This window comes from Homo sapiens, chromosome 1 (assembly GCF_000001405.40).
Source record: "Homo sapiens chromosome 1, GRCh38.p14 Primary Assembly".
NCBI lineage: Eukaryota > Metazoa > Chordata > Mammalia > Primates > Hominidae > Homo > Homo sapiens.
This window is the reverse complement of record NC_000001.11, coordinates 64,632,930-64,655,668: the sequence shown is the minus strand read 5'-3', so window position 1 is coordinate 64,655,668 and position 22,739 is coordinate 64,632,930. Positions and strand designations below refer to the sequence as shown.

Below are 22,739 nucleotides of genomic sequence, written 5' to 3'. Positions count from 1 at the left end.
TGATTCTTTGAAGCCTGGTGTCTGAAAGAATCTGGTAAGAGAAAGCAGAAATGGGTGCCACAAGTTATGGCCAAACTATCCATCTGCTTGTGTTGAACATGAATAATCCAATTTCTAATCTAAAATTTTCTTTTCCTTAGAGAATGTCGGAAGGTACTTATGCTTTCATGTCTCCTTTTAAACTCCCAACCTCCACAATCTGAGTTGAACTGAAAAAAACCAACTGGATGTAATCTAAATGTGCATTAATAGGGGACTGTTTAAAGAAATTTGGGTTATCTACACAATGCAATCCTATATAGCCATTAAAGCCGTGGGTGAGCGTATACACACACACACAAATATATATACCTGCCTGTATATACACATTTTCTGGAAATTGATTTAAGTGGCTACTTATGGGGAATGAAAAGTCAAAGGAAGGAAGGAAGTAGATAGTTTTGGTGCTAGCATGGCTCACTGCAGCTTCAACCTCTCAGGCTTAAGCAATCCTCCCACCTCAGCCTCCTGAGTAGCTGGGAATACAAGCATGTGTCACCACGTCTGGCTAATTTTTACATTTTTTTATAGAGATGGGATTTTGTTATGTTGTCCAGGCTGGGCATAGTTTACTTTCTACTTTACATCCTTTTATATGGTTTGATGAATTCATCATGAACAATTATCAGTTTTATAAACAAAAAAGGAAAAATAATTATACAACACCTGTGGAATGTCTTCTTTCCCAATCACTTTAAAAACTGATTAGTCACATTACGAGACAAATTATCAGACCCAAGTGCCACCCCCTGGCTGAGAATTCCAACATGAAGAAGAGCACTGTACCCTGTAGCTCTTCAAGCAAACACAACTTCCTCTCACTCACCATCTTCCAGGCATAGCTAACATTGTAGGCTTCCTTTCCAGTTTCTCTCAGCTTGTTTATGTGCCAAGACAGGGATGAGTTCACAGGGACTGCGATAATCTGGCTGCCCAGAGGGAGGCTGTGTTGGCAAACAGAATTAAATATTTCAGGCAAAAGATAAAATTAAGCACTTAATTAAAGGCAAGGAAGAAGCTGTTGAGTCAATGGCCACCTCCTGATTTCGAATACCAAAGAAGCTCATCAGTTTTGAAAGGATAATGTGAGATTTTCAATTGCGTAAAAGCATTATGTCAGCTCTGCATTAAAAACATCCCTTACTCTCCATCCTTGCTCCCCAACTCTAATTCTTTCCAGAGACTAACTTGTCTCAAATCACTCAGTCATTAATTTTCAACCAATGAGCACAAAGACCCATTCCTCTACAGGTTACCATCTGCCAAAATAATGTATCACAGTTGGAAAAGATCCAATCTGTTTTTTATTTGAAGAAAAAACAATGTATAAGATTGTGCTGTCAACTTGGAATGGACGCTACTTTGCCAGGCTATTTTTTGGCAAATGCAACAAAGCTGGTCCTCAACTTAGCCTTTTATTTTGCCAACATTTTTCAATTTGGTATCATTGGAACTTTTTTTGAAAATGAGATGAAATATATCTGATTTTACAATGAAAGTCAATGTGAACATAAAATTTGATTTACAAGACATTATCGTCAAATAATAGTTCTAAGACACCTTATCTGTGATACAAAGTAAGCAAAATCTTGGGTGCTATTCTTACGGAAACATTACTGAGAATACTTTTGATAACATTAAAATAATTTATACACTTGTTTTATACTCTGTAGTAAATACTCGTATGTGGCTTTGATGGGTCCCATTCTCAGGGAAAAACAATCCTATGACCCTCACCTTTTCCTTACCTTAGGATATTTTGCCGAACTAATTCAAATTTTGGAATATTTTCATAATGTATGATGTCAGTATGAAGTGGGGGCTCTGACAATAAATATGGCCTGGTAAGAGATGGGTGCATAAGTGTATATCCTGCAATAAGAAAACAAAATGCATGTTAATAAGAAACATGTTGTAGGAAGTTCTGAATCACTGTTTTGAAATATGGGGTACTCTGGGCTGGCTGCCCGATACTCAACTTCTCATTCTGCAACTCACCAGTCCAGTAAAAACTGAACCTGTTTTATATGTGCTTACATAAAACTCTTGAGGCGTAGAAAGATGTCTTAAATTATCAAACATCTGTCTCATCAAGAGTATTTTGGAGGTATTGGTTGTTTTGTTGTTTTATAAAACATTCTAATCTACCACATAAATCTTAATGCCAATAAATCTAAGATAACAATTTAATAAAAAAAAGATCCAAAGGATGACATTCTTCTTTTTTTTTTTTTTTTTTTTTTAACTTCTTTTAACTTCAGGGGTACATGTGCAGGTTTATTATATAGGTAAGCTTGTGTCACGGGGGTTTGTTGTACAGATTATTTTGTGACCCAGGTACTAAGCATAGCACCCAATAGTTATTTTTTCTGCTCCTCTCCCTCGTCCCGCTTTCCACCCTTAGGTAGCCTCAGTATCTGTTGTCCTCCTCTTTGTGTCCATGTGTTCTCATCATTTAGCTCCCACTTATAAGTGAGAACATGCAGTATCTGTTCCTGAGTTAGTTTGCTAAGGATAATGGCCTCCAGCTCCATCTGTGTTTCTGCAAAGGACATGATCTCATTCTTTATTTATGGCTGCATAGTATTCCATATGTACCACATTTTCTTTATCCAGTCTACCACTGAGGGGCATTTAGGGTGATTCCATGTCTTGGCTATTGTGAATAGCACTGCAATGAACATACAGGTGTCTTTATGAGAGAACGATTGACATTCCTTTGGGTACATATATACACCCAGTAATGGGATTGCTGGGTCAAATGGTAGTTCTGTTTTCATCTCTTTGAGGAATCATCACACTGCTTTCCACAATGGCTGACCTAATTTACATTCCCACTAAGAGTATTCAAGTGTACCCTTTTCTCTGCAACCTTGCCAGCATCTGCTATTTTTTGACTTTTTAATAATAGGCATTCTGACAGGTGTAGGATGGCATCTCATTGTGGTTTGGATTTGCATTTCTCTAATGATCAGGGATACTGCGATTGTTTTCATAGGCTTGTTGGCTGCATTATTTCTTCTTTAGAAAAGTTATCTGTTCAGGTCAAAGGATGACATTCTATGTGTCATTCAATCCTCCAGTCTAATTTCCTGATGTTACAAATAACCGTTCCCTACCCCTCAAAGAACAGAGAAACACATGTGTAATTTGGAGATCCACTCTGCCATCTTTACGGTGTTCTACTACAAATGAGCAATCTTAGTCACAATGCTCTTCTTTACACTATCATTTTCCTATTTTGTTTGTAGAATATCTATACCTTATTTTCTTTAGGTTTCTAAAAAAGTATTCTTAGGATGAACATTTAGCAGATTACCTTTGTCGTCTATGAGAAAAGTATAGGAAGCCAAAGAGTCTTGGTAATACGTCACGTCTTCAAGAATGTAAGCCAGATTCACGTCCACACCTACAATTCCCAGAAGTAGGTTTCCAAAATAACAGGGTTTACTCACAGTCATTATCAAACCTATGGGTTAAAAACAAAATAAATCTAAAGACCAGCAGAGAAGGAATTGGACAAAGACTGGAACTGTGCTCCGGTGAATCATGAAGGCTTCTATCAGCTGTCTCAATTTTGTTTGGAAGAAAAGTTTCCCATGTGGTCCAGTAATCAAGCATTGCCTTTGCAGACAGCCTAATAAATGAGTTAGAGTGGGAGGGAAAGAGCGTCCTTTGGCAGCTCAGATAGCGCAGTTAATTTAAAAGGAGGCAATTTCTATGTTTTCCACTACTTTTTCACCTAAAAAGATAAGACCTTCCAGATCAGTGCAAAACATCAGCAACACTAAATACATTTTTCTATTTTGTGAAGCAGTTAGATTCAGCTGAACTTGAAAGATCAATGGACAATGAATCTAAAAACTGTACTTAATAGTCCAGCTGTACCCCTTTTGTATTGTACAGGTGACAATGGATATAACTACTCTGAGCCTTGGTTCACACATCTGTTAATTTTTTTAATTTTAATATTTCGAGATGAGGTCTCACTCTGTCACCCAGGTTGGAATGCAGTGGTGCGATCATAGCTCATGGTGGCCTCAACTGCCTGGGCTCAAGTGATCCTCCCTCCTCAGTCTCTCAAGTAGCTGGGACTATGGGGATGAGCCACTGTGTCTGGCTCACACATCTGTTTAAAGGACACAGCATTAACTGCTTTACTGATTTCTAGGAAATGTTAGATCAAAAGAGACTATGGATAAAGGAATGCTTAAAAGGTATTATTACTATACCCCATTAATGCATCCTTTAAAAAAAGGTGAAAACAAGGGGAAAAAATTTAGAAAGGTACAGTATCTGAACATACAGAACTTCAAGCAGCTGAAGGAGAAATTAAGTTTCCAAAGGAATGTATTTCCAGTCATTCGGGCCAGGAGTTCCTAAATTTTTATGTAAGGGGTCAGACAGGAAATATTTCAGGCTTTGTGGGCTACACAGTCTCTAGTGCATAATTTTTGTTGTTGTTTTTTTATAAAAAATAACCTTTTCAAAATATAAAGACCGTACTTAGGTAACAGGCCATTAAAAACAACAACAACAATAGGATAATTAGGGAAAGGGCAAAGCACACAGGAGGAAAATGTAGAAAGAGAGGTGGGTCAATGCATGGCCCCGAGATCGAGACACCTGGTTTCTCCTCCTGGCTTCCCTGCTGGGTTTGGTAAGTTGTGCCACGTCTTGGAATGAGACTCTCCATGCATCAGATGGCTGGGGTTGGGGGCGGGGGGAGGTGAGATAAAATGATCTTTACGATCCCCAACAATTTCACAATCCTATGGCTCTAAAGAAAACTCTAAACAAAAAGATGGATTGTTTATCTTTATCTTGATTTTGTTTTTTCCTGCGCTTGATGTCTATCAGCCTATCAGAAAGCCATTCTTCTAGAAACCCCCAGGAAAGGGATTTAAAACTCCTGAAGGCTTCTACAAAGAATGAGCTTCTACACAGAGAATTGCATATGATGTCCACTTGAGGTATTATTGAGTTGCTATGGTTGCATAGGCCAACTAAATGCATCACTTGATAGGAAGAAGTGGATACATCACTGAAAAAGCATCTGAAAAGTCATGCAACGGGTCTCTATTTTGGTCTCAAAAGCATTTTTTAAGCAGTTCACATTTAGAATGCTATCTGTTTTAAAATGTTTAAAAATAACATGTATTTAAGGAGGTTTTAGAAATGCATTTTGGAGAAGGTTTTTCCCAGGTCTCCCAGGATAAATAGGTTGTAAGCGGCAGGAGCAGGCTGTGAGGACCAGCATGGAGACAGAGGTCACAATCTGCCCACCACAGTCCCCTGAGCTTTAGTCTAGGATTAAAGCCATTTTCATAGATCAGTAAAGTACAACAGAAATACTCTGTGACTGAGATGCCTGCTCGCTTCAAATTTCTATTCTCCTCTGGACAGGTTGAGAACAAAGTCTTAAAAAAGAAACACAATCTTACTTTTCAATTATCAACTGGGACAGAAGACTCTTGATCCCATTATGGCAAATAAAGTATGCTAAGCTCCTGTTATATTGACAAAATCCTCAATCACTCTCTGTACTTTAACCTAAAGCACATAGATTTACTTTTTAAAAAGAAATATGTTCAGTAACTGATATTTTAATCTGTGTAGGTTTTGAATTAGAGCCACATAAACATGGGTTTCCCTAGAATCAAGCCTCATGTCATGGAGTCAGAGGATGTGGCACTCAATAATTCTAGGGACTGAAAACACAAAGATGAAAAGACAGACACACTCTAGTAGAGGAATTCAATAGATCTGCAAACCAATCACTGAAATCCACTGCACAGGATTCATAACACAGGCCCCAAGGAGCAAAATTTGGATGGTATCAGGCAACAGGTGGCCAAAGTTCTACATGTGATTTGGTTTAAAGCATTCAGGGTAGCTCTCTGGATTTAGGAGGGAGTTCCACTCTACCTGATACCACTATCAGTAAGAGAATTTGGCTATATGATCTGAGTTTGTGAAAAACTGGATCTCTACGTCATCCTTTGTCCCTTTCACACAGTATTAACGGGAATTACTGATTTGTCTTTCTCTTATCAGACTTACGCTTACTGAGGGTAGGAGGTGAGCCTCACTCATCACTGCCTGGCACAATGCTTGGCTGGCACTCAGTAATGTAAGCTACATGCATAAAAGGTAACTTGCATTCAGGACTTCATATTTTCACTAAAAAGGGAAATAACCTTATCTAAAAGTGGGAGTTTCCATTCTATATACATCTGTAGTCCCTGACAGTAATAGGAGTGATTAAAAAAAGCAAGGCTGGGGATGGTGGCCCACAACTGCACTTTAGGAGGCAAAGGTGGGAGGACTGCTTGAGGCCAGGAGGTCGAGGCTGCAGTGAACTATGATCACACCACTGCACTCCGGCCGGGGTGAGACAGGCCCTGTCTCTTTAAAAATAAAAATTGAGACATAATGGCAGTTGGCTTATTTCTTCCTTATAGAAAGAGAATGTCTACCTAGTTTCTAGAAAACACCTTCTCTATAGGCTTGTTACTTTTTACACGTGAGTTTTAAAAAAAATCCGTATTTGTAAGAGTTCCTAGCTAACAAAACATAAATATAATATCTCAAATGGCAATGGTGTCTGTCTGGCTAATAATTAGCTACTTCTTCAATTTTCTTCTGTCAAGGAAGGAGAAAGGGGAGGATATAGAGAAAAGGAAAAGTAAGAACATGGAGGAGGAAAAGAAAAAGATTGTGCTTTTACTAAAAATATACTGTTAGTCAGGCATTGTTCTAGATGTTTTATTATTATTGCATTTAATCTTCACAACTGCCTTGAGGAAAATGTTGTATTTTCTGTTATATTTTCCAGATTCTATTTTATAGGTCAGGAAATTGAATCCTGTGAAGGTTCAGTACTTTACTCAACATCCTGTTATGGGTAACTTAGGCATCAGGATGACGGTGATGCTGATGTTAGTAATAATAACAATGATAACAACAAAGGTAAAATACATTTAATAAATGAAATAAAAACAGTAATTATAACTGAATGGTATGCCGGTCATGTGTTATCATAGATTTTATAATATCTAGGTAATCCTAGATTAACTAGATAATGACAGGTCATATATGTTATCTAGTTAATCCTAATAATCTGAAAGATTTACTATCCCATTTTACAGGTGACCAAATGGAGAATTAACACCATTAAATAACTTACCAAGGACAACACCTCAAGTGGAAGAATGGAATTTGAAAGCCCACCTGAGGCCAGGCCCATGTTTGTGCGATGATGCCACGTTGCCTTGTCTCTGAGGCTGAATCCTCAGCACTTCTGAGCTTCATTTCCCATGTGCCATGATACAAAGCTACCCTTTAGTTCTAATTCACAAACTTTTGGATATTCGAGAATCCTCACAAAGCCTCCCCAGAGGATACATCCATTATGTGTACTATGGCCAGGGTAATAAGGAAGAACCTGGGCTGGGGATTTCTGCTGTACAATACAGAGATATAGGACAGGTGGCAGGGGTGCTAAGAAACCCTATGATCCTGAGAAAGAGGTGCCATTTCTATCTGCCCAGTTCTTTTCCCCTTCCTTTAAAATGACGTTTATCCAAACTCACCATCTCCCATCTCATCAGAGAAGGGCAGGCTGAAGACGGCTTCATCAATCATCCGGTTGGGAAGGTTTGTGTAGAACCTGCCCACTGTGGTCTCCAGGTTGCTCAACTGATTCAGCACCATCATGCTGCCCTTAATCACAGGCAAGGCCATCCGGTCTGGCACACCGTACTTCCCTGAATTCTGTTCAGCTAGATCCCTCAGAAAAGCCAGCTCTTTCAAACCAGTCACCCCATCTAAAATGGAAAGCCGAGAGAAGACCACGGAAAGCAAAATGGTTTATATCCATTCAACCTCTTGCCATTTAGATCAAATACGGGCATGGATGAGGTCTTGTAATACCAAAGGGGTTTTTGCAGAGACCACATAGACTCTGGACACAAATACCAGTTCCTGCTGAGGAAACAAAGCCTGAGGCATAGTCTTTCCTGAAATAGTCAAGAGGGGAAAGGGACTCTTCACAGGGCGATAATGAAAAACAAATGAGCAAATAAAGGAGTCCCATTCAGTAAGAATGTGTTCTCCCCAAAAGTTAATTATAAAATGAAAATTCATTTTCTGCATTTAATATTTAAAAGCAAAAGTAATAATCAACACGTCTGCATTTAATTTAATGTAGTAGATGAAACTGTAAGAGTTTTAAAGAACAGAGGGTGATCCTTTCATTCCTTACTTCTTCACCTATAAAACCACTTGCCAAAGTCTAGCTGCCATGCAACTAAATGAAAGAATTATGGATTGCATTTACTGATGCCTCCAAACCCTGTTTCTTTAAGCTCATTTTAATTATAAACATATTCATGCTTGATATTGTTAGGATAATACTGAACTTGATTTACTTAATACAAATTTTTTTACATTTAGAGGGTTTTGAAACTTTGTACAAAATTTAGGCATACTGGGATGTATTATTCTACAACATCTGTAATTTATAGCACAAAAGTAAATTTAATACACTTTTTTTTTTTTTTTTAGTTTGCTATTGTTGGAACATAGTCAAAAGGATTAGAAACTGATTGCATATGGGGACTGTTGTAAACAAATTCAAAATGATTTCAGTCACTACTGAGATTCTACCACTGCCTTTTTAAAAGGTTTTGTCTCATGTTCTTGCAGATTTCAATACCAAACCATGAACTATTCAATCATTAAAAAGAATCTGAAGCTTTCATGGTTCATCTACCACATATGTCTTTAGCATTTCTACATAGAGAGTGTACATACTTGTAGCACTGGAAGTCCACTTCTAAAATCATGGCAGAATAAAATAAATATTAATTTCTTTCTCCCACCCCCCACCTTTTTTTGAGACAGTTTCCCTCTGTCACCCAGGCTGGAATGCAGTGGTGCAATCTTGGCTCACTGCAACCTCCACCTCCTGGGTTCAAGCGATTCTCATGCCTCAGTCTCCCGGGTAGCTGGGATTACAGGCATACACCACCATGCCTGGCTATTTTTTTTTTGTATTTTTGGTAAAGACGGGGTTTCACCATGTTGGCCAGGCTGGCCTCGAACTCCTGGCCTCAAGTGATCTGCCCACCTTGTCTCCCAAACTGCTGGGATTACAGGTGTCAGCCACCATGCCTGGCAAATCATTTCTTTCTTAAAACACATTATATTTAAATAAACTTGACTTTTGCTCCACTCATGCAATGCTAAAGGAAAGCAAAAAATACCTGGGCCAAATTAAGTCAGAATCAGATTACTGTTCCCTTTGCACGGCACAGAGCTGAGATGGGGAGTGAGGGGTACACTCCAGAGTAAAAGTTAACACCAAAGACACGATTGGTACCTGACCTTATATCCTTGAGAAGCTCACAGAAGTAAAACAATAAAAGAAGAAAACTCGAGCAATAACTAAATTTCCCTTCTTTGTCATGTATTGCTTGAGTCTCTCAAAACATAAAAGAAAACAATATCTACTAGGCAAAGAAGAGTAGCGTGGGATGGAAGGTTATGGAGGATTGAGTATGAGGTGTTACTCCATCATGAGATGTTATGTAGGGATGGCAGGAAGGTCAGTAGGGTGGCTGATTGGTAAGTACGCTGGGTTGCCTATTATCAACATGGTCATGCTAGAAACTACATTTCCCAGGATCCTCTTTTCTTGTATGCTACCAGGTTAAAGGTGCAAAAAGTGAGGGCTGTACTGCGAGATTTAGGGGACAGTAAGAAGTGGTCAGAGACAGACACTGAGGGGCCAGAATGCTCCAGTTTGTCCTACTCTTCTCTGTGTTCAGCTCCCTTTCCCAGCTGCTGACCTGCTCACTGATAGCAACCCCAGCCATGTTCCAGATGCTTCACTGAGCATGCACGGGGGCTGGCAGCCACAAAAAGCCAACAACCTTCCATGGACTTCTACACCAGGTCTCCTAAGTAATCTTCCATGTTCCTAGCTTCTAGACTTCCCAGCAGGCCCCAACCTGGTTACTAAACTTTCTGAGATGTCACCTCCCCATCTTGGGTCTTTTATTTTTTTTTCTCCCACAGTTTCTCCCAGTTTCTCCCACAATTGTGTGCATTCTAATTCTGACAATAAACTCTTTTTTAAATTTAATTTTTATGGGTACATAGCAGGTGTATATATTTATGGTGTACATGCGATGTTTTGATACAGTTGTGCAATGTGTAATAATCACAGCAGAGTAATCGAGGTATGAATCACCCCAATCATTTATGATTTCTTTGTACTATTAGAAACATCAAACTTCCACTGTATTAGTTATTTTAAAATATATAATAAATTACTATTGACTACAGTCACCGTTATATTATCAAATACTAGATCTTATTCCTTCTATCTAACTATATTTTTGTTAGATAGAATGTAACCATTACCAATGATTACCCATCAACCATTCCCAATCCCCCCAACTTCTCTGGTACCCTTTCCAGTCTCTTATCTCCTGTAGTTCAAGTGTTTTATTTATTTTATTTTTTGAGACAGAGTATCACTCTATTGCCCAGGCTGTAGTGCAGTGGTGCCATCTTGGCTCACTGCAAACTCTGCCTCCCAGGATCAAGCGATTCTTGTGCCTCAGCCTCCTGAATAGCTAGGAATACAGGCATGGGTCACCACACTTGGCTAATTTCTGTATTTTAGTAGAGATGGGGTTTCACCACGCTGGTCAGGCTGGTCTCGAACTCCTGACCTCAGGTGATCCGCCTGCCTCGGCATCCCAAAGTGCTGGGATTACAGGCGTAAGCCACTGAGCCTGGTCCAAGTGTTTTAATTTTTAGCCGACAACAAATTCTTTATTCCAGTTCTCTTAGTCAATCTGTTTCCCTATTTGTAAGTAAGGTTAATTGTGTCTACTCTAGTGAATTACACTTAGAAATAGGGTTCTGAGAAAGAGAGAGAAAACTGGCAGTGAGGATGTGTGTCTGGTTAGATTAAAGGAAGAAAGAGAAGAGAAAAAGATGCTGAGATGGAAGTAACTAGAGACTCTAAAGTACGGAATTACTGTAACAGAAAGTGTGTAAGAGACTCTGGTTGAAGAATTTAGGACCAGTGAAGGAATGGGTGACAGCAAGGAAGTAAAGAAGTATCTGCCCAGGCAGACCTTCAAATCTAATGGAAGAGAAGTGATCCCTTCCTTTTGGGCCTCCTTACTCCTCTACTATTGAATTTCATTCATCTTCCATGTCTACCTATCTTCCTCACTGGGTCATAAGCATCTTGCAGACAGGAACTTTGTATAATACAGCTCTGAAACCTCAGTACCCTGTGTTGTACATGGTAGGTGGTCAGTAAATTTTATTTTCCTCCCTTCCTCCTTTTCTCCCACCCTTCCTACCTCTCATGAATGAAAGAATCCAACACAAAGGAGAAAAGAGCAACAGGTGGTCAGAGATAACACTGATGGGCACGTGCCCAGGCACCCTCACCCACTTCAGCTGCTTTCAGTCCTGTGCTAAGCGCTCAGAATGCAAAGAAAACTAAGACATAGTTCATGCTTGAGAAGTTCACATTCTTGTGGAAAGTGGAGGGAGAAGAGAGAGAGGACAGTATGTGAGCACCTTACTATAGTATAATGGGAGACATGCTTGTCAGAATTAGGCAGAAAGTGCCAGGGGACAAAGAGGACTGGACAGAGATCTGGCCCTGGATGGCAGAGCTCCACCTCTGAGCTATACTGTCTGAGACAGGAAACCATATAAGCTTTCATAAACTCCTTATGCTGGCTTTGAGGACCATTCTTTTGGAGTCTTGCTCTGTCGCCCAGGCTGGAGTGCAGTGGTGCAATCTCGGCTCACTGCAAGCTCCGCCTCCCGGGTTCTAGCCTTTCTCCTGCCTCAGCTTCCCGAGTAGCTGGGACTACAGGTGCCCGCCACCACGCCTGGCTAATTTTTTTTGTATTTTTAGCAGAGATGGGGTTTCACCGTGTTAGCCAGGATGGTCTTGATCTCCTGACCTCGTGATCCGCCCGCCTTGGCCTCCCAAAGTGCTGGGATTACAGGCATGAGCCACCGAGCTCGGTCTTTGAGGACACTTTCTTTACCAGGTACTACATTAAGAACTTTAAACACAATCATATATTGCTTATTTATTATTACAACAACCCTATGCAGTAGATTTTACTATTTTTCATTTCACAGCTAAAACTGCAGTCTAAAGAGATTAAGTAACTTGCCATAAGCCAAACGACTAGCAAATGTGGACAGCAGCTAAGGACCACTAGACATCAGAACCTGTGTTCTCTCAAGTGTGGTCTAGAAATCATTTGGAAGAGAATCACCCTGGCCAAAAAGTAGATTCCTGAACCCCTCCTAAGAGGATCTGAATAAGAATCTGAGAGCAATGCCTGGAAATCTGCATTTTAAAGCCATTCCCCAAGGAACCCTTAGCACATCAGAATATGAGGCCCACTGTCCCTGAACCACATGGTTCTGCATGGAAATTTCACAGTTGACAAGAGAAACAAAAGATAGTAGGTGGGAAAGACTGCTTGATCAAGACATGGCTTTTTTTTTTTTTTTTTTTTTTTTTTTTTTTTTTTAGACAGAGTCTTGCTCTGTCACCAGGCTGGGGTGCAGTGCTGCAATCTCAGCTCACTGCAACCTCTGCCTCCTGGGTTCAAGCGATTCTCCTGCCTCAACCTCCCGAGTAGCTGGGACTACAGGCGCACACCACCACGCCCAGCTAATTTTTGTATTTTTAGTAGAGACGAGGTTTCACATTGTTGGCCAGGTCTTGATCTCTTGACCTCGTGATCAGCCCACCGAGACCTCACAAAGTGTTGGGATTACAGGCGTGAATCACCGTGTCCAGCCAAGACACGGCCTCTTAAACACAAGAGAAGATGGCCACTTTGAATACTGAGGGCAATGGGCCTAAAGATGTCATGGGAGAAAAGCAATGTATTAACAGGCGGAGAGATACAATACAGCTAGAAAACTGTGCTGCACTCAGACTAGCGGACAGGTTGAATAGCAGAAGGGAAAAAATGTAGTAGTAGCTTGAATTTACCAATTTACTAAACCCTTTTACATTCTGTCATTCGACAGCAGCACAATCCATTTTAATAAGTTGTTTACTGTACATTAAGGCTAATCCTCACAACAACACTGCAAGGTAGATAATGCTTATCTCCATTTTACAGCTAAGGAAGCTGAGGTGGAGAAAGTGGCAGAAGAGGCTTCAGGTGGTGATTCTGCAGGAAAATGTGATATTCACAGATTGGGTTGTGCAGAAGAATCTAGGTCAGTGCTTTGGCTTCCTGCAGCTTAAACCAATGAGATAAGCTAAAACCTTAGATAATCCTAGAATATGAAGGAGAACTGAAAAAAAAGGTGGGGCAGGGGGACGCTGTATAAAATCCTCTGCAAGACCACGTAAGTGGAGAAGAGGTTTAGAAACAAGCAGTTCACTGGAGAGACAGATGAAGAGAAAGGAACCTCCTTACACACCCTAAATACCAACATCAGGTAGAGAAAGAGCCGCCTGGTTGCCTTTTCCCGTAGCCTTCATCCAAGCACACTGTTATGATTCTTTTTCTTCTTTTTAAAGCAGCATACACTTAGAGGGATCTTTGATCTGAAAGGAATATCTTGAAACTCTACCTACCGTTCATGAGGGCATAGGTGAGAATCATTACAGAGTTGTTTAGAAAGCTATTTTCTTCATTGATGACTTGGAGAGTCGCTTTTTTATCTTCTTCCGAAGAGTCCTTTGATGTAATGCCAGCTGACAGGTAAATGATGACCATGTCTGTATCTAAACAAAAACACATCAATTGAATGCTCTCTTTGGATTCCAGCTAAAGGCAGCAGTTCAGTTTCCTGTTCATGTCCTTGGACTTCCCCACCTCGAGGACTTGCCTAGCCCACGGTTCCTAGTCCCTCCTGTTTGATGCTGTGGCTTTCATCCCCCTGCTTCTGCCTTTCTTCCATTCCACCCTTTCTGGACAATGAGGCCACATTTATGCAGCATCAGGTAAGGAGATGTTCCTAATATATTTATCAGATGAAAGGAGGCGATTTCCTTTAGGCACCAATGGTTATAGTAATTTAAGCCAATCCAAATGGAAATCTCTCCTGCCTTCTGAAACAGATGATGCAGAACGCGACTTATCCTTTCCTCTGTGATGCAGGAACATCACCATGAATGCTCGTTTCTTGAGGACCAGGCTTTAAAATGATGACTCTTTCGGGCTCTTCAGGCACATAATGTTATTTGCTCCTAGACTAAATATCTTTAGGTAATTTTCATTTAAAAATCTCATCAGTAGAGCAGTGAAACATGGACTTAGAAGCCAGGTAACTGTGTTCAAAGCCCAGCTCTGCTACTTACAAGCTGTGTCTGGGTAATTGAGGCAAATTTCTCAACCTCTCTACAACTAATTTTCTTTGTCTATAAAATGGGAGTAATGACAGGACTGACTTAGTAGTGTTGCTGTGAAGAATAATTGGTTATTTTACGTAAAGACTATCAGCAAAAAGGTGATAAAAAAAGAAGGTAAAAGAGAAAAAAAAGAAACTACAACACACACACAAAATGAAAACAAAAACCATGCCATTGGATTGAAGGAGCACCCCTGAGTTAGAAGTGAAATTATTTTCCAAATAGGGCTGCGAGGTAGAATAACTGAGAGTTAATTTTGGTCCCGTAGAACTTCTGTCAAGTGGGTTGACTAAAAAAAAACAAAGGTGATTAATTTCCTACAATTAGAGATAAATAAGCAGAGGCTAAATGACCACAATAAAAAGAGGGAAGTCAGAGAGCTGGACTTTTACATCTTCTTCCTAATCTGTAATTCTTTGATTTAACATATATATATATATATATATATATAATGTTGAGAGTGTGTGTGTGTGTGTGTGTGTGTGTGTGTGTGTGTGTGTCTGTATATATATATATTTTAAGACTGAGTCTTGCTCTGTTACCCAGGCTGGAGTGCAGTAGTATGATCTCAGCTTACTGCAATCTCCTCCTCCAGGGTTCAAGCGATTCTCATGCCTCAGATTACTGTAGTGGGACTACAGGCACGTGCCATTATGCCTGGCTAATTTTTTGTATTTTTAGTAGAGATGGGGTTTCACCATGTTGGCCAGGCTGGTCTTGAACTCCTGACCTCAAATGATCTGCCCGCCTTGGCCTCCCAAAATGCTGGGATTACAGGCGTGAGCCACCACGCCTGGCCTCAATAAAAATTTTTAGGACATCCTACATATTTATCTTTTTACTGAGAAATATTTATATAATATGTTATACACTTACTTCTTCAGGTTTCTGTTATTGTGTTTTAGTTGAGGTTGCTCTAAAGTGACTGCGGCAGGCAACCTCAAACTTGGTCCCTTAGTGATTCCATGTCTTGACATTCATTCACCTCCTGGGGTAGCTGCCTCCCTTGAGTGTGGCTGGATTTAGTGAGTCACTTATAATGACTAGAATGCGGCAGAGGTGATGGGACATCAAGACAAAGACTAGGTTACAAAAAGACTGTGGCTTCTGCAAGGGGGGCTTTCTCACTCTGAAGAAAGCCAGCTGGCAGGCTGTAAGCAGTCCTATGGAGAGGCAAGGAACAGAGGCCCCTGGAACTGAAGATCCTGCCAGCAAAAGTGTGAGTGAGCTTGGAAGCAGCTATTTCCCCAGTAGAACTTTGAGAAGACAGCAGCTCTGGGCAATAGGCTGACTGCCGTCTCAAGAAACTCGTTGGGCCAGAGGCACCCAGCTATGCTGTGTCCAGATTCCTGAAGTACAGAAACTATGAGACAATAAAGATGTATTAAGCCACAGAGTGTTGGAATAATTTGTTACACAGCAATAGTTAATGAATATAGCTACCCTTTAAAAAATTATCCTAATGGTGAAGACACAAAACTTGAATTTCCTTCAAATTATACATTTCCATTTTAGATTTAAGTATTCTTTATTAGGCAGAATTTAACAGTTAACTTATAATATATGAATGTCATAGATAACTGAACTGAGTTTAACAAAATTTGACTCTAAGAAATAAATGCATTCAAAATTCCTCTTATTTACTCCTAATACTTAATACCAATTTTGATACCTGAACATTCTCTAGTGAACATTAACTGCACATTTAAATTTCACTATTTAGTTATCAGAGATTAGGAAGTGAATGCTGATGCAAAAAGAAAATCCACACTTTAGGAATATTCTTGTCTTAAATTAGATGTCAACAAACCAGATGTCAATATTTTTTCAGTTGTATATACAGTTCAGTAAATTATTTTATAAGGACCCTAAACAGTTCATTTAAACTTCAGACTGAAAAATACAAAAACAAAAATTGCTTGAGTCCCTAGTTGGAGGGAACATATATACATAGATACAGCATGAGGAGGATCTATGGTATGACACAAACCATCTCCTCATGGCAAAAGTATATGTGTGATAAATTCCTGGACACATCTAGGGTGACCTAAAAGAGAACCCTAGTCTCTAAGTTGTCTCACTTAGCCTTATGATTCTGCATAAAATACACTGTCATTTAGAGCTGTTTCTAGGGCAAAGGTCCATGTCTGGAAGGCCAGAAAGCTAGCAGCCCTTGAGCTGCTTTGGTAGCCAAGCACATTTTCTTTCCATTCCAACAATAAGACATACACTCTGTAAGAATCCTCGCTGGCTCTGTCCAACCCCTGACTCCATTCCCACCTTATCCTCAAGAAAAATTGAGTTATTTTTCCATTCTTATCAGATCTGTCAAATTTGGTTTGATTTGTTTTTTTAATGCATTGGGATATTCCCTTTTTAGTCACCCACTTAGAGCAATTTTAGGGGCAAGCAATTACAGGGACTTGGGGTAGAGCAGAGATGCAGCATGTAACTGGAAGAAAATGTAATAGCTCTCCATTTGCTGAGTCTCTCTATAAGCCACCAGGCATGTCTTGGGGTCAACATCAAAAGGGGAAGAGCGACTCATATTTAGGCTTTGCCCATACCATTAGATCTCCACTCTTAACCATCTTTAATTGAGGTTCATTATGATCCTCAACTAATCAGCTCCAAAACAAATTCAGAAGAAACAACTCCAGGATGTTAATGCTGTCAGTTAAAGATCTACCATAAGACTGAAAAAAGGGTCAGAATTGGACAAAAGTTTTAGACCTTCTGGTTGATATAAGGCAAATTAGTGTCAACCAACAATGATTTATGACATGTAGCTTATTTTTATATGGCTACCAATGTGGGCATACACTTTACTTTCATGTACAGACTAACCCTTACAACAATCGTCAAGAGTAGGTCTTATTATTTGAATAACCTCACATGTGGCACCTAAAACAGCACCAGATATACAGTAGACATTAAATAATTGTCTGTAGAGTGAAGAGAAATAGTGATGTATAGAGTTTACACTAGAATAAACTTCTAGGAAGTGTATACAGACCCCTTGCTACACTGTTGCCTAGGCCTTGGCCATCTTTGGGCCTGAGGTCAACTTAGGACATCTAGGGCATCTGATCTAGTTTAGCTGGAGCTAGAAGTCTTATAGGAAACTGAATATCATAATAATCACAGGAAATATGCATTGGATATTTATGATGGAATCCTGGATATTATCACCCCTCCATTTACAGGTGAGGAATCCAGGTCTGGAGAAAATAAAACAATATAGACAAATCCACAAGGTTAGAAAAATTTCAGAGTAGAACACTAGTTGAAATCTATAACCTGCATAACTCCTGGGCAATATTGCCTGAGAGTACCCTGGGACTGCTCCTTAATAAACTGGACAACGCTCATTCCTGAAGTCTTTTCTTTATACAAACTAATCTAGGTTATTTTTTCTCTAAACTGTCAGTAAAAGCTATAAACTAGAGGCCAGTGAGCTAAGCCTTAGAAACATCTTACTTGGGCTAAAAAGGGCTCCTCTGAGTATTTAGAAAACTGTGCCTTCAAAATTTGTCCAAGTCTTTAATGGTCAATCTTCTTGCCATGTTTTTGTTTGCCAACATTAAGAAAAACAACACAGAAAAATCCAGAGGAGAAATGCCTCTCATCAAACCAGCCTCCTGCTCATGTGCAGTGCAGGAATGTCTGTGAGAAGAGATTTAATGAGGTCTCTATTCACAGTTTTAAAGCTGGAACAAATGTCAACATTTGAAAATCAAGGGATTTCACATGAAAATCCAGATTTCTGGCATCTCTTGAAACAGAAGATCTGGCAGCACTGGGCAGACATTCCTGCTCAATGGACTGAACAGAGGAGCAGCTACCCTCTGGATGGTGCATGTGTCCATGTGACCATGTTCTCCAACTCATCCTCATTACCTTCCCCCAGCTCACTTGACTCAAATGCGCTGCCTGGCCACTGTGGACATCTGAGTTTGCAACTGCTAGTCTAACATTTCTCTCCATTATTTGAAAAGTATAATAATCAAAACTAGACTTTAAAGATGGTCTGATGACAGAAGAATTTGGTAGAAAGAACACTTCTAGTGAGGAATGCTGACAGGTGGGTGGCATTGACAAACAGGCCAATCTGCCTTGAGTACTTGAATTCAGCCTTGTTAACTGACCTTACTGAACCAAGGGCAACTTTACGCTCAGCCACCCCATAATATTGGCTTGTGGATAGCTGATGCTTGCCAAAGCTGGTAGGCCAAATTCTAAGATGATCTAAATGAGCAACATCCTGTATACTGCTGAATATACAGGATGTCCTGTATACGGGACATAACCTGTAACTTGCTTCTAAGAAGAAGAATATGGCAAGTAATGAGCCATTACTCCTGTGATGGTGCTTGCAAAGATGGATGGATGTTTGCCGAGGTCCCTGATAAACTTACATTGAGTTAATCACAAGCGAGAGTAATCTGATTAAATAAATCAAAAGGGAAAGTGGGGCTGATCTAATCAGATGAGCTTGTTAAAAGAGGGCCCAAACCTTCTCTGAAGCCAGGGATTTGAAGAGATGCTCTTCTATTGGCCTTGAAGAAGTAAATGAAATGAGTTTTACAGTTGCAAGGAAATGAACTCTGCCAACAAACGTGTGAGCTCATGTTTGTTGAACCTTAGCATGAATGAACCTTAGCATGAACAAACCTTAGCATGAACCTTAGGACTCTGAATGAACGGTAGTCCCACTGACACTCTGACAGTAGCCTGTGAGACCCTAAACAGAGGACTCAGCTAAGCTGTACTTGGACTCCTGACCCACAAAAACTGTGAGATAACAAATGTATATTGTGCTAAACTGCTAAGTTTGTGGTAATTTGTTATGCTGAGACATAAAACTAACACACCATGTACCATCATTAGTTATAATTACAGTAGCTTCCTTCTTTTGAGGATCCATTATGTGCGAGGCACTATGCTTTGCATTAATCAGTGCTTAGTTTAAACACAGACACAATGAAGGGCTTGGAAATGTATTCTTTAAATTTATCTCAATAGGATACATTAATATTTTCAAACAAAGAAAAAAACTATAAACAGATTTTTTTTTTTTTTTGAGACTGAGTCTCGCTCCGTCACCAGGCTGGAGTACAGTGGCGCAATCTTGGCTCACTGCAACCTCCACTTCCCGGGTTCAAGCAATTCTCCTGCCTCAGCCTCCTGAGTAGCTGGGATTACAGGCGTGTGCCACCATGTCCAGCTATATTTTTGTATTTTTAGTGGAGATGAGGTTTCACCATGTTGGTCAGGCTGGTCTTGATCTCATGACCTTGTGATCCACCCACCTCAGCCTCCCAAAGGGCTGGGATTACAGGCATGAGCCACCGCGCCCAGCCTATAAACAGATTTTTGAAAATAAAAGGGAAAATGAAATAGATTCCTTCAAGTAGTTTCAAAGCATGAGCCCCATTTCAAATATCTTTTCCCTTACTTTAGGATGCATCCTAATTCCAGATTTTCTTTAATACATAAAAATTAAATTAGAGGCCAGGCGTGGTGGCTCACACCTCTAATTCCAGCACTTTGGGAGGCCGAGGTGGGGGATTACAAGGTCAGGAGTTCAAGATCAGCCTGACCAACATGGTGAAACCCCATCTCTACTTAAAATACAAAAATTAGCCAGGCATGGTGGCACATGCCTGTAATCCCAGCTACTCAGGAGGCTGAGGCAGGAGAATCGCTTGAACCCGGGAGGTGGAGGTTGCAGTGAGCCGGGATTGCGCGATCACACTCCAGGCTGGGTGACAAAGTGAGACTCTGTCTCCAAAAAAAAAAAAAAAAAAAATTAAATTAGAGTGCCTTTGTACATCTGAAGGGCCATGCTCATCTAAATGACAGCTGGTTAGAAGAAGGAAGGATCAAGGCAAGAATTCCTGCTGCCCACTTCACGTCCACATGTGCACAAGCAGACTTCCACTCCAAGTCAAAGAGGAAGCAAAGCTGACAATCAGCATTAGAAAGGATGTGGAGATTCCCTTGGGACATAAGTGCAGACATGATCTAAATAAAGGGGCAGGAAGGGGAGGCTCTAAGAGTCAAGAAATTGTACAGACTGACCATCTTTGATTGGAAAAGATGAGAAAAACGCAGTTAACACTCTATAATTAGATGATGACGAAGACAACATATGACAATTTTATCCCAAATCTTTTTTTTTTTTTTTTTTTTTTGAGACAGAGTCTTGCTCTGTCACCCAGGCTGGAGTGCAGTGGCATGATCTTGGCTTACTGCAACCTCTGCCTCCTGGGTTCAAGTGATTCTCCTGCCTCAGCCTCCCGAGGAGCTGGGACTACAGGCAACCACCACCATGCCTGCCTAATTTTTTTTGTATTTTTAGTAGAGATGGGGTTTCACCATATTGGCCAGGCTGGTCTCGAACTCCCGACCTTGTGATCCGCCTGCCTTGACCTCCCAAAGTGCTGGGATTATAGGCGTGAGCCACCGCACCTCGCCCCCAATCAATTTTTTTTTAATCCCTCTACGCTGGTCGCGGTGACTCATGCTTGTAATTCCAGTACTTCGGGAGGCAAAGGCAGGTGGATTGCTTGAGTTCAAGAGTTTGAGATCAGACAGGTCTCAGCCAGTGAAACCCTTTCTTTACCAAAAATATAAAAATTAGCTGGGCGTGGTGGCATAAGCCTGTGGTCCCAACTACTTGGGAGGCTGAAGTAGAAAGATTGCTGGAGCCCAGGAAGTCAAGGCTGGAGTGAGCCATGATCACACCACTGCATTCCAGCTTGGACAGAGCAAGACTCTGTCTCAAGGTAAATAAATAAATAAATAAATACATACATAAATAAATAAATAAAATCTCTCTAAACATCATTGTGTGATCAATTTACAATATATTCCTATTGCCATCTTTATCTACTATGCCTCTAAGTCCTCTGAGAGAACGCACTCACTTGCTTGGAACTTTGTGTTATTGTTTGTACTTCGAATCAGCTGAAATGCCTTTTGGAATCCCACTGCGTGCTGGGTAGGACTGTCTGAAGACTTCACGCTGCTAACAAAGGTGGACATTTTCCTTTTTGTCTCACTGGTGGCTGGAGACAAGAAGGTCTTATAGCACTGGTCTAGTGAGCAAGTCCGGACGGTATCTGCCACAGTTAACACAGAAATCTGCAGGAAAGAAAAAAAAAAAAAACCACCAAACTTGTTATCCTACCGTCTAAAGATTTATTTATTTATGTAACAGAAGAGGCCAAGGAGTAAGAAGGCCTACAGAACAGATTCTGAGAGTTTCAAAATAAATCCCTGGAGCCATCCATCTATCAAATTTGAAAAGGATCCATAAGGATTGGTAAAGTGGGGAAACCCCTAGAGTTTGGTTTTTGTTCCAACATGAAGTGGTAGTATTATGTTCATACATAACATTAAACACACACACAAACTATTTTATGCAGAGAAAAGTCATAGCAAGAATGAACTATCCTGTTTTTCAACCTGGAGGTGAGGGGTGAGGGTAAGAGAGTGAGGTGTGTGTGTTTTAAGCCACTAGGTTAGTGAGCAAAACCTCTGGAGTTGGCAAAGTCAAAATGATGAAGCAGAAAATGTCCACAGGCAATAGATTATCATTAGCTGTACCCACACCTCTCTCTGAGGTGTCCCAGAGATTAGTCAGCCACTAGCGGCTTTCCCTTCTTCCTGACTTCCCAACAATCTTGCAATAAAGTTCAGCCATCCATCAGCATCCAAATCTCCCACCCCTCTCCTCCTCAGCGTAACCTCCAGTGTGAAAGTCATGGCTAATTAGAAACCTTACCATGAGCCATAAAGAAGTATAAGACTAAGCTTGGTGGTAGTTACGAAAGGGATTTTTGGATTTGTGGCTGCTTCCTCAAATATTAGAATAATACTCTTTTCCCAAAGTCTTTTCTTTTCCCAAAGTCCTTTTAAAGATGGATTTAAAAAAATATACAGATGGTCCCTGACATACAATGGTTTGACTTTATGATGGTGAGAAAGCGATAGGCAGGCAGTGAAGCTGTACTTTCAATTTTGGATCTTTTCCCAGGCTCCTGATACTTTCTCATGGTGCTGGACAATGGCAGCGAGCCGCAGCTCCCAGTCAGCCATGCAATCATAAAGGAGAACCGCTGATATAGTATTCTGCAGTGTACTGTATTCAATAAATTCTACGAGATAGCCAACACTTTATTATGTTATAAAATAGGCTTTGTGTTAGATGATTTTCCATAACTGAGGGCTAACCTAGGTGTTCCGACTGTTTAAG

At 40.3% G+C, this 22,739-nt stretch overlaps 1 protein-coding gene across 5 annotated transcripts in view; it reads right to left on the bottom strand.

Moving 5' to 3' along the window:
• Positions 1-22,739, bottom strand: part of CACHD1 (cache domain containing 1) — a 222,925-nt gene that overhangs the window by 37,385 nt on the left and 162,801 nt on the right. For all 5 annotated transcript variants that reach the window (NM_020925.4, XM_047426234.1, XM_047426235.1 and 2 more), the window contains 6 exons: positions 21,409-21,625; positions 13,700-13,849; positions 7,635-7,868; positions 3,359-3,508; positions 1,788-1,911; positions 866-983 (listed from right to left, as the gene is read on the bottom strand). In NM_020925.4, the coding sequence (NP_065976.3) occupies positions 866-983; positions 1,788-1,911; positions 3,359-3,508; positions 7,635-7,868; positions 13,700-13,849; positions 21,409-21,625 (993 nt within the window). The remainder of the gene's footprint in view (positions 1-865; positions 984-1,787; positions 1,912-3,358; positions 3,509-7,634; positions 7,869-13,699; positions 13,850-21,408; positions 21,626-22,739) is intronic.